The 12150-nt window shown below is 50.3% G+C and overlaps 5 annotated features.

The window, feature by feature from the left end:
• Positions 4335 to 4444: an enhancer, noted in NCBI's record as "active region_10495". NCBI's record gives its function as "activates an Ori minimal core promoter by ATAC-STARR-seq in GM12878 lymphoblastoid cells {active_cell/tissue: GM12878}" and the evidence as "EXISTENCE:reporter gene assay evidence [ECO:0000049][PMID:35858748]".
• Positions 6929 to 7458: an enhancer, noted in NCBI's record as "OCT4-NANOG hESC enhancer chr16:14447139-14447668 (GRCh37/hg19 assembly coordinates)". NCBI's record gives its function as "activates a minimal SCP1, AML or CMV promoter by ChIP-STARR-seq in naive and primed H9 embryonic stem cells {active_cell/tissue: H9 hESC(naive and primed)}" and the evidence as "EXISTENCE:reporter gene assay evidence [ECO:0000049][PMID:30033119]".
• Positions 8252 to 8311: a silencer, noted in NCBI's record as "silent region_7232". NCBI's record gives its function as "represses an Ori minimal core promoter by ATAC-STARR-seq in GM12878 lymphoblastoid cells {active_cell/tissue: GM12878}" and the evidence as "EXISTENCE:reporter gene assay evidence [ECO:0000049][PMID:35858748]".
• Positions 8432 to 8531: an enhancer, noted in NCBI's record as "active region_10496". NCBI's record gives its function as "activates an Ori minimal core promoter by ATAC-STARR-seq in GM12878 lymphoblastoid cells {active_cell/tissue: GM12878}" and the evidence as "EXISTENCE:reporter gene assay evidence [ECO:0000049][PMID:35858748]".
• Positions 10848 to 10897: an enhancer, noted in NCBI's record as "active region_10497". NCBI's record gives its function as "activates an Ori minimal core promoter by ATAC-STARR-seq in GM12878 lymphoblastoid cells {active_cell/tissue: GM12878}" and the evidence as "EXISTENCE:reporter gene assay evidence [ECO:0000049][PMID:35858748]".

Genomic DNA, 12150 nt, shown 5'->3' on the forward strand with positions numbered 1-12150 from the left:
TTGAGATGAGGAGATTATACTAGATTATCCAAGTGCACCCAAAATAATCACAAGAGTTCTTACAGCAGGGAGGCAAGAGGGTCAGAGTCAGAAGAGGTAGGGATTGAAGCAGAGGTCGGAGAGAAGAGAAGATGCTATTAATACATCACTGGCTTTGAAAACAGTAAAAAGGGGCCACAAGCCAAAGAGAGCAGGTAGCCTCTGGAAGCTGAAAAGGGCATGGGAGCAGATTCTCCTGAGCCTCCAGAAAGAATGCAGCAGCTGGGCGTAGTGGCTCACACCTGTAATCCCAGCACTTCGGGATGCTGAGATGAGAGGACTGCTGGAGGCCAGGAGTTCGAGACCAGCCTGGGCAACATAGTGAGACCCTGTTCATATGAAAAAAAAAATTTTAATGTTCTGTGCTGGCAGCACCAGCACTTCTGCGCAATCAGGCCAAGAAGAAAATGGGGAGGGGACCCCGAGTGTGTGACAATGACAGGCCCCAGCCTGGGGCTGGGAGATCCCTCGCTGTGAATGGTGATCACATCACCGCACTCCAGCCTGAGTAACAGAGTGAGACCCTGTCTCTAAAAAAAGGCAAACAAAAGAACCCAAAATAAACAGAAAGAATGACGCCTTATGGACCTAATTTAGACTTCTGACCTCCAGAACTGTAAGGTAACAAATGTGAGTTGTTTTAAGCTGCTGATTGTGGAAATTCACCACAGCAGCCATAGGCAACTAATGTGATGGTCTGGCAGGGCAGACAGCCTACAAATCTTATAGGACTGGCCACATGATTTGTTGGGGGGCCCAGTTGAAAATGAAAATGCAGTTTCCTTTGTTCAAAAATTAGCAGCAGCCGGGCACAGTGGCTCACACCTGTAATCTCAGCACTTTGGGAGGCCGAGGTGGGTGGATCATATGAGGTCAGGGGTTCGAGACCAGCCTGAGCAACATCATGAAATCTCATCTCTACTAAAAATACAGAAACTAGCCAGGAGTGGTAGTGTATGCCTGTAATGCCAGCTACTTGGGAGGTCGGGGCAGGAGAATCACTTGAACCTGGGAGGCGGATGTTGCAGTGAGCCAAGATGGCACCACCGCACTCCAGCCTAGGCCAGAGAGAGACTCCGTCTCAAAAAAGAATTAAAAAAAAAAGTTATCATGAGTTTCAAAACAGCAACAGCAGAGCATTCAGCCAAGCACCGGGCCCTTGTTTGAGGCAGGGTCTGGTTCTGTTGCCCACACTGGACTGCAGTGGTGCAATCATGGCTCACTGCAGCCTCAACCTCCTGGTTCAAGTGATCCTCCTGCGTCAGCCTCCCAGGTAGCTGGGACTACAGGGACATGCCACCACGCCGGGCTTTTTTTTTTTCTTCCGGCAGAGACAAGGTCTTGCTATATTGCCCAGGCCGACCTCAAACTCCTGAGTTCAAGCAGTTCTCCAAAATGCTGGGATTACAGGTCTGAGCCACCAATCCCTGCCCTGGGCCCTCCTGAGCACAGGACATACCCGTCAAGCCGGCCCTGACTCCTGCCAGGAACTAGTTGATTACAGTGCTGCGATCAGGCCAAGAAGAAAATAGGGAGGGGTGTGTGACAATGACAGGACCCAGCCTGCGGCTGGGAGATCTCTCTCTGAGGACTGACACTTGCTTTGGGCCAGGTTCCCGGGAGGTGGCGAGGAAGGGCCTGACTCCGACCCCCTCCTTCTGTAAGCAGCGCCTGCGCCCCTCCAAAACTCAGCCTTCCGTCTCCTGTAGGAAGCCTTTAATCTCCCAAGCTGGTTTCAGCGCCTCCCTTACCTGAGGACTTATAACACTCTACCCTCATCCCTTTGAATGTTTCTAAATAAACATTTTATTTTAGAATAATTTTAGATTTACTAGCCGGGCACGGTGGCCCATGCCTTAACCCCAGCACTTTGGGAAGCCAAAGTGGGAGGATCACTTGAGGCCAGGAGCTCGAGACCAGCCTGGGCAACACTGCAAGACCCTATCTCTACAAAAAGAAATAGAAGAGCAATTTTTTCTTTTATTTTTGAAACGGAGTCTTGCTCTGTGGCCCAGGCTGGAGTACAGTGGTGTGATCTCGGCTCACTGCAACCTCCTCCTCCCAGGCTCAAGCAATTCTTCTGCCTCAGCCTCCCGAGTAGCTGGGACTACAGGCACCTGCCACCATACCAGGCTCATTTTTTTTTTTTTTTTTTTTTTTTTTAAGTAGAGGTGGGGTTTCACCATGTTGGCCAGGCTACTCTCAAACTCCTGACCTCAAGTGATCCGCCCATCTAGGCCTCCCAAAGTGCTGGGATTACAGGCGTGAGCCACCGCGCCCGGCCAAGAAGAATTCTAGATTCACAGAAGAGTTGCAAAGATGGTACAGAGAGGTCCTGTGTCCCTTCGCCCAGCTTCTCCAAATGCCAGCATCTTACCTGATCATGCCCAGACAGATGCTAACCTAGGTCATGACTGTGAACTGCCCTCCGGACGCATTCAGATTTCCCTCATTTTCCCCCAATGCCCTTTTTCTGTTTTAGGGCCTGATCCAGGGCACCACAATGCATTTAGCTCCCCCTACAACCTAAAAATGAAACCGTAGATGTTAGGATGTGCCTGTCCCTGTGCCAAGCATGTCACCTGCTTGATCTCACTGAATTCTCACAATCATCACCTGCCCCATTTTGCAGGTGAGGAAACTGAGGCCCAGAGATACTAAGTAACTGCAGGATCCTTGAGTACCCCTTCAAAAATACCTGGTTCCTATCTCACTGCTCCAAAGTCCCCCACGATGCCACTGGCTCTCTATTCCAGAACTCCAATCGTCATTCAACCCCAGAGCTTACCAAACTTGAGTCAGTATCATTTTTCCTCCTGTTCACTTTCTTTGCTTAATATTTTTCTTCTAAAACCACTGGGCTGGGTGCAGTGGCTTACGCCTCTAATCCCCACTCTGGGAGGCTGAGGCGGAGGATCACTTGAGCCCAGGAGTTCAAAACCAGCCCTGAATGAGATTCTCTCTCTATGGGCTCAATCTATCCTCCCATGTCAGTCTCCTGAGTAGCTGGGACTCCAGGCGCTTGCCACCATGCCCAACGTTTGATTTTTTTTTTCTTTGAGACAGAATTTCACTCTTGTCACCCAGGCTGGAGTGCAGTGGCACGATCTTGGCTCACTGCAACTTTTGCCTCCTGGGTTCAAGCAACTCTCCTGCCTCAGCCTCCTGAGTAGCTGGGACTATAGACGCGTGCCACCGGACCTGGCTAATTTTTTATTTTTAGTAGCGACGAGGTTTCGCCATGTTGGCCAAGCTGGTCTCAAATTCCTGACCTCAGGTGATCTGCCTGCCTCGGCCTCCCAAAGTGCTGGAATTACAGGCGTGAGCCACCGTGCCCGGCCTCTTTTTTTTTTTTTTTTTTTTTTTTTTTAAGATACAGGATTTCACTATGTTATCCAGACTGGACTCAAACTCCTTGGGCACAAGCAACCCTCCTGCCTCAGCCACCCCAGCAGGTGGGACTACTGGCACTTCCCACCATACCTGGCTTTCGTCTACCTTTTAATCATCTTTCCAATCAGTTGCCCCAAGTCTCTCCCCAAGATAATCAGAGTGTGACGCTGGGTAGTCAGTTTCCATTTGTTGCACATCCACCTCTAGCGGGCCCAGTGCTGAGCATCTTATAAACACTGACTCATTGAGTCTTCTGACAACCCTCAGCACAGGAGATGTGTGTTTTCCCGGGGTTTACAAAGAAGGCAACTGAGCCACAGAAAGGCAAGGTATCCTGCCCAAGGTCACACAGGCAGAAAACAGCAGGACCATGACTCCAATCCAGACTAGCCAAACCGCTAAGCAAGAGGCCTTAGCCACACACCTGGAGCGCTCAGACGCAGAGACGTTCAGGTTGGGCATGAAAGAGCTTTCGAGAATCTGATGATCCTGGGAGCATCAGGCACTGGTAGCTTTAGGCAAATCGGTGTAGGAAAATATATCTCCCCTCAAAGGTAAATCAGGGAGTGATATTTGACTTGCAAAACGATTCACAAATAAGCCGGTGTTTCAGCATGAAAATCTCATTTTTTTTTTAATCCTCTAGTCATTTTCTCTTTTTCCTTCTTTCTAAGCAAAGAGCCTGCTGCTCCTACTCACTGCCTTCAGGGAGAGGGGCAACGAGTAGGCAGCACCAACACTGTTTGTGCCTTTGGTTTCTGAAACCCTAGATAAGGAGTTGGCACCTATATCCTACAAGCCAAATCCCACCACTGACTTTTTTTTTGAGACTGAGTCTTCGTCTGCTACCCAGGCTGGAGTGCAGTGATGTAATCTCATCTCACGGCAACCTCTACCACACGGGTTCAAGCGATTCTTCTGCCTCAGCCTCCTGAGTAGCTGGGATTACACCACGCCTGGCTGATTTTTGTATTTTTAGTAGAGGTGGAGTTTTGCCATGTTGGCCAGGCAAGTCTCAAACTCTTGACCTCAGATGATCCGCCCACCTCGGCCTCCCAGAGTGCTGGGATTACAGGCGTGACCCACTGTGCCTGGCCCTTCACCACTGACTTAAAAAAAAAAATTCTGGTAAGAACAATTAACTCGAGGTCTACCCTTTTCACAGATTTCTAAGTGTACAATGCAGTACTGTTAATTATAGGCACTATGTTATACAGCAGATCTCTAGAACTTTTTATTTATCTATTTTTTTGAGACAGGGTTTTGCTCTGTCACCCAGGATGGAGTGCAGTGGTGCAATCATGGCTCACTGAAGCCTCGAACTCCTGGCCTCAAGTGATCCTCTCATCTCAGCCTCCCAGGTACTTGGGACTGCAGGCACATGCCACAGTGCCAGGATAATTTTTTAAATTGCTGTGTAGAGACAGGATCTCGTGCTGTTCCTCAGCTGGTCTCAAACTCCTGGCTTCAAGCAATCTTCCCACCTCGGCCTCCCAAAGTGCTGGGATTACAGGTGTGAGCCACTGTGACCGGCCTTAGATTGTATTCATTTTGGCTGGGCGCAGTGGCTCACGCCTGTAATCCCAGCACTTTGGGAGGCTGAGGCGGGTGGATCACGAGGTCAGGAATTTGAGACCAGCCTGGCCAACATGGTAAAACCCCGTCTCTACTAAAAATACAAAAATTAGCTGGGCGTGGTGGCGCGTGCCTGTAATCCCAGCTACTTGGGAGGCTGAGGCAGGAGAATTGCTTGAACCCAGGAGGTGGAGGTTGCAGTGAGCCGAGATGGCGCCACTGCACTCCAGCCTGGGCGACAGAGTGAGACTCTGTCTGGGAAAAAAAAAAATAAGTATTAATCTTTCATAACTGAAATTTTATACCTGTGGAATAGCAACTCCCCATTTACCTCACCCCTCACCTCTGGCAACCACCATTCTACTCTGTTTTTGTGAGTTCGACTGTTGTAGATGCCTCGTATGAGTGGAATCCTGCGGTATTTGTCTTTCTGTGACTGGCTTCTTTCCCTTTCAGCATAAAGTCCTCCAGCTTCATTCATGTCACGCACATGTCAGAGCTTCCTTCTCTGGCCAGGTGCGCTGGCTCATGCCTGTCATCCTAGCACTTTGGGAGGCAAAGGTGGGAGGATCATTTGAGCCCAGGAATTCAAGATCAGCCTAGGCAACCTAGTAAGACCCCTATCTCCACAAAAATCAGTTTAAAAAAATTAGCCAGGTGTGGTGCCGCAAGCCTGTAGTCCCAGCTACTTGCGAGGCTGAAGTGGGAGGATAGCTTGAGCCCGGGAGGTCAAGCCTGCAGTGAGCAGTGATTCGACCACTGCACTCCAGCCTGGGCAACAGAATGAGACCCTGTCTCAAAATAAATAAATTTTTTTAAAAACTTAGAGTTTTCGGCCGGGTGCGGTGGCTCATGCCTGTAATCCCAGCACTTTGGGGGGGCCAAGGCGGGTGGAACACGAGGTCAGGAAATTGAGACCATCCTGGCCAACATGGTGAAACCCTGTCTTTACTAAAAGTACAAAAATTAGCTGCGCGTGGTGGCGTGCACCTGTAGTCCCAGCTACTGAGGAGGCTGAGGCAGGAGAATTGCTTGAACCCGGGAGGCAGAGGTTGCAATGAGCCGAGATTGCACCAGTGCACTCCAGTGTGGTGACAGAGTGAGACTCCGTCTCAAAATAAATAAATAGATAGATAAATAAATAAATAAATAAATAAAATAGTTTTCTTTTTCTTCTTCTTTTTTTTTTTTTTTTTTTTTTTTTGAGAGCGAGTCTCACTCTTGCCCAGGCTGGAGTACAGTGGCAAGATCTTGGGTCACTGCAACCTCTGCCTCCCGGGTTCAAGCAGTTCTCATGCCTCACCTCCCACGTAGCTGGGATCACAGGCACCCACCACCACGCCCGGCTAATTTTTTGTATTTTTAGTAGAGATGAGTTTTCACCATGTTGGCCAGGCTGGTCTAGAACTCCAGAGCTCAGGTGATTCACCTACTTCGGCCTCCAAAGTGCTGGGATTACAGGTGTGAGCCACCACGCCTGGCCTGTTCCCTTTTAAGAGTGAATAATATTCCACTGTATCACTCTACCATGTTTTCTTTATCCACTCATCAGCTTCTGGACATCTGAGTCGCTTCTGTATCTTGGCTATTGTGAGTAGTGCTGCAATGGATATGCAGATCTCTTTCTGAGGTCCTGAATTTGATTCTTTTGGATCCACACCCAGAAGTGGGACTGCTGGATCACGTGGTGGTTCTGTTTCACTTTTCGAGACAACTCCATGCTGTTTTCTATCGTGGCTACACCGTCTTACATTCATTCACACCACAGTGCACAAGGGTTCCTTTTTCTGCCCAACGTTGCCAACATTTGTTGCCTTCTGGGTTTTTATTTTTCATTATTTTTTTTGAGATGGAGTTTCCCTTTTGTCACCCAGGCTGGAGTGCAATGGCCCAATCTCGGCTCATGCAACCTCCGCCTTCTGGGTTCAAGCGATTCTCATGCCTCAGCCTCCTGAGTAGCTGGGATTACAGGTGTCCGCCACAATGCCCGGCTACTTTTTGTATTTTTAGTAGAGACAGGGTTTCACCATGTTGGCCGGGCTAGTCTTGAACTCCTGACCTAGTGACCCACCTGCCTCAGCCTCCCAAAGTGCTGAGATTACAGGCGTGAGCAACCGCGCCTGGCCACCTTCTGTTTGAGAATGGCCACCCTAATAGGTGTGAGGCCATAGCCTACTGTTCTTTGGATTTGCATTTCCCTGCTGAGTGGCGTCAAGCACCTTTTCATATGCCTCTTGACCATTCATTTGTCTTCTTTGGGGAAGAGTCTGCTCAGGTCCTTTGCCCATTTTTGGAGCTATTTGGTTTTTTGCTATTGGGTTGTAGGAGTTCTTTATATATTTTGGATATTAACCAACATATATACAGGGGAAGGTGGGGGAGGCAGGAGGGAGGGAGGGAGGGAAGGTGGGAGGGGAAAAGGCATGGCAGGGAAGGCAGGGAGGAAAGCAGGAGGGACAGAGGGGAGAGTAGTAGAAGGGGGAGGGAGAAAGGGAGAGGGAGGAAGGGGGAGGAAGGAAAGCAGGGGGAGGAAGAAGAGGAGGGAGAAAGTGGGGAGAGGAGGGGGAAAGTGGGGAGAGGAGGGGGAAAGGGGGGAGAGGAGGCAAAGAAAGGGGAGGAGGGGGAGGGAAAGAAAGGGGAGGAGGGGGAGGGAAGGAGGAAGGGGGAGGGGAATGAAAGCAAGGTGGGGGGCAGAGAGGGGAGGGGGAAGGGGAAGAAATGGGAGGAGGGGGAGGGGGAGGGGCAGAGGGAGGAGGGAAGGAGGAAAAGAGGGGGAGGGAAAGAGGAAAAGAGGGGGAGGGAAAGAGGAAAAGAGGGGGAGGGAAAGAGGAAAAGAGGGGGAAGAGGGGAGAGGTAGAGGGAGGAGGAGGAAGGGGGAGGGGGAAGGGGGAAGGAAAGGGGAAGGGGAGGGTAGGAGGGAGGACAGGGAAGGGGAAAGGGGAGGGGGAAGGGAGGAGGGGAGGGGGAAGGGAGGAGGGGAGGGGGAAGGGAGGAGGGGGAGTAGGGGGAGGAGGGAAGCGGAGGAGGGAGAGGAGGGAAGGGGAGGAGGGGGAGGAGGAGAGAGGGACGAGGAGAGGAGGGGAGGGGAGAGGGAGGAGGAGGGGCGGGGAGAGGGAGGAGGAGGGGAGGGGAGAGGGAGGAGGAGGGGAGGGGAGAGGGAGGAGGAGGAGAGAGGGAGGAGGAGGGGAGGGGAGAGGGAGGAGGAGGGGAGAAGGAGGAAGAGGGGAGGGGAGAGGGAGGAGGAGGCGGAGCGGAGAGGGAAGAGGAGGGGATGGGGGAGGGGAGGAGAGGAGGATGGGGAGGAGGGAAGGAGGGAGTAGTTTATTTCATTTACCCATCTGAGTAGCCCAAGGTTGGAACTGCATTCTGTTGATGGGGAAACGGAGCAGTTAAGTAACTTACCCAAGGTCACACAGCTGACAGGCTGAAACAAGATCCAGTGTGACACTCAAACCGAAACCGCTACACTCAAAACATGCTATGCTTTAATGATGTTACATTTTTCTAAGTTTAAGATTTTGAAAAGTTGTGCGTGTACATGCTCACCAAAAGGCAATGAACAAATCTGTGTCCTGCTCTCAACCCCAAGTCCCCTAACCACGAAGTTTCACTTCCACCTCCACAAGTAACATTTCACCATTCAGTGAGTAGCTGTAGTTTATGCAATGTAAGCTCACAGGAATATATTCTCACGTCCTCCCCTTTTTACACAAAGAGGTATACTTGCTTTGTGCATACTTGCTTTTCTTACCTAATAAAGCTTGGAAATGCTTCCTCCCTGGTTTTTCACAGCTGCATAGCATATGCGGTTATACAGATGGTGCCATTTATTTTTAACTAGTGCCCTACTGAAGGGGGTTTAGGTTGTTTCAATCTTTCGCTTTTACAATGTTGCAAAAAATAACCTCAGAGGTAAATAAGGTCTCACAAGCCCCAGTTTATCTGTAGGATTACTGCTGGGCTGCAGACCAGCTGGGACAGAGGATTTCTGCATTGGTAATTTGGACAGATATTGGCCAAGGAGACCAGGTTCATATACAACTCAGCCCAAATTCCAAAGCCAAGAGTGGGGGGGGGGGGCGGGGGGTTGGGTGGCAGCAGAGACCCAGGAGACACAAGGACACACATCCCCTCTCTATCTCCTCCAGTCCTGCCACCATCTCACCGCTGTCAGCTTCCTTTGAGCTTTCCTGTGATCACAGAACAGTGATGACCCCATGTCTTAAACGCACAAGATGAAATAGCACACAACCCTAACAAGTGAGGAAGACAGAAGGAAAAGGGCACCAAGATTCATTAAAAGGGGGCAAAGCGGGGCCGGGCGCAGCAGCTCACGCCTGTAATCTCAGTACTTTGGGAGGCTGAGGTGGGCAGATCATTTGAGGTCAGGAGTTTGAGACCAGCCTGGCCAACATGGTGAAATCCCATCTCTACTAAAAATACAAAAAGTAGCCGGGCATGGTGGCAGGCACCTGTAGTCCCAGATACTTGAGAGGCTGAGGCAAGAGAATCACTTCAGCCCAGGAGGCAGAGGTTGCAGTGAGCTGAGATGACACCACTGCACTCCAGCCTGGGTGACAAAGTGAGACTCCATCTCAAAAAAACAAAATAAATAAAAATTTAAATTTAAATTTAAAAAGTGGGGGAGCAAAACGGGAAAACATGCCAGAGAAGGGCAGCCCCCAGCATCCCTGTCCATCCCGCAGGGATGACAACATGGAACAGGGGAGGGTCTCAGACTTCCCCAAATAAACTGAGCCATGAACCGAGGACCCTGAGGCACCTGGGCCGCTCTCTGGGCATTCCCTAATCAGGAGGGTACTTGAGGCAGCCGGTCCCCTGTGCCAGAGCCCCGTGCATGGGGTTTCATGTGCATTATCCCAGCTAAGCCTCCTGGCCACCCATGAGGTCAGTCCTATTATTACCTCGCCCTCCGGAAGAGGACACAGGTGAGATTCCTGCTGGAGCCACACAAATCACTCCGCAGAAAGACAGTTTGGATAATCAGGACAACATATCATTAGCAGGACATTTGAAGCGGTGCGTAATCGTGCTAAAAATATTAATTTGGAAAGAATCTTGAGGCAGCCAAATTTCCATTCGAATCCTCACCTCCTTTTACAATAGTTTTGGGAGCAGGGAAGGATCTGAGAGGGAATGTGCCATCTCTAGCACTTTTTTAATGACATACATGTATTTTTTATTCCACAAAGTGAATGCAGGCTTATTGCAGACAACTTGGAACATAACGGAGAAAAATGAAATCCATAAACCTACCCCCCAGGGGAGGCCTCTGTTAACCCCATGGTAGGTCGGCTGTTTTCAGCATGTGTGTGCTTTAGAATACGTTGATTGAAATATAACATATGTGCAGAAAAATGCATGGATCATAAATGTATAGCTTGATGGAATTTTCGGGCAAAAACTCCCATGTAATAAGCATCTGGATCAAGAAACGGAACATATGAAAGTGTGTGTTTTTTTGTCTTTCAAATTAAAAAAGTTTTTTAGAAACAGGGTCTCACTCTGTGGCCCAGGCTGGAGTGCAGTGGCACGGGTATGGCTCACTGCAGCCTCCACCTCCTGGGCTCAAGTGATCCTCCTCCTTTAGCCTCCCAAGGAGCTGGGACTACAGGTGCACACCACCAAGCCTGGCTAATTTTTTAATTTTTTGTAGAGACAGGGTCTGGCTATGTTGCCTAGGCTGATTTCGAACCCCTGGACTCAAGAGGATCTCCTGCCTCGGCCTCCCAAAGTGCTGAGATTACAGGCGTGAGTCACTGCACCCAGCCACCAATGTGGTTTTTAAACAAAATCAGGGCCCTATGGTGTTGTGAGCCCAATTATATTCCCCAAAAAGATATGTTGAAATCCTCACCCCAGCTACCTGTGAGTGTACCCAGTGGGCCTGCTGGACAACTTGATTTCTGTCTTCTGGTCTACAGAGCTCTGAGAAAATCCATTTCTGGTGCTTTAAGCTGCCCTGTTTGTGGTGATTTTTTACAACACCCCTAGGAAACTGAAACGCGTGGGTACAGGCAGCTTAATATTTTTTCCTGATTATGAAAGTCACCAAGTTCACCTCTCACCTGGACACACGTACCAGCTCCTGGAGTGATCTAAGAATGTCATCTTGCACAGCCGGTGACTGCTGCAGACACATCAAATGATGTCAGCTCTGCACCATGCCCTGTGGCCTCGGGGACAGCGAGCAGACCATGGGTGTTGGGAAGGAGGGCCTGGGAGGGGGAACAAAGACCCCACTGACAGGAGCAGGGTAAGGGGCCTGGCTCCTGCTATTTCCTGGCCAGGCTGACCCAGTCCTGCCTCCCAGTCTTTGCCCCAGGCTCCTCCTCTGTCCATCACAGGTAGAGCCATTGCTCTAGTGCTGGCTGGGTCCCCTTGGCCCCAATGGGTGGCCCTGCCTTTCCTGGCACCTTGGTCCTGTAGTGGGGGGCACCCCAACCCAGCCCCATCTGCACCCTGGAACCCTCTGAACCTGAGAGGCGGTGGGTTGGTATTTTCACATCCTAAGTGAACAGATATAAGCCCAGGTCATAAGTTTGCTGGTTCAGAGACATGAGAAGGGCTACACAGTGAGGTTAGCAATAACTTTGGCTTTCCCAAGAGCTAAAAAGGCTGCCTTGAGGCTCTGGGACTAGTTGAGAATGGGCTACAAGAAGATCAGTGGGGCTGGGCATTGTGGCTCATGCCTGTAATCCCAGCACTTTGGGAGGCCAAGGTGGGAGGATTGCTTGGGGCCAGGAGTTCAAGATCAACTTGGCCAAAATAGCAAGATCCCATCTTGTAAAAAAATGCTCAGGGGGCAGCACAAATATTTGGCATCTTGTCTGGAAACCCAAAGACCTGAGATGAGGAAGAAGAGCTAATAGATCAGCAGCAGTGGCTGAGGATGGCCCAGAGTTCACATCTGTCCATAGAAAGGCAGCAAGGGGTGATGTTTGAGGCTGGAGCAGGAGGGAGGCAGGTGACCTGGGGAGTGTGTGGCCTTCTGCAGTCTGGGTGCATTTTCTCACCCACTGTCTGCGTAGGTGACGGATATGGTTTGGCTTTGCGTCCTCACTCAAATCTCATCTTGAATTGTAATCCCCACATGTCAAGGGAGAGACCAGGCGGAGGTAA

The sequence above is a fragment of the Homo sapiens genome, chromosome 16 (assembly GCF_000001405.40).
Source record: "Homo sapiens chromosome 16, GRCh38.p14 Primary Assembly".
NCBI classification, from domain to species: domain Eukaryota; kingdom Metazoa; phylum Chordata; class Mammalia; order Primates; family Hominidae; genus Homo; species Homo sapiens.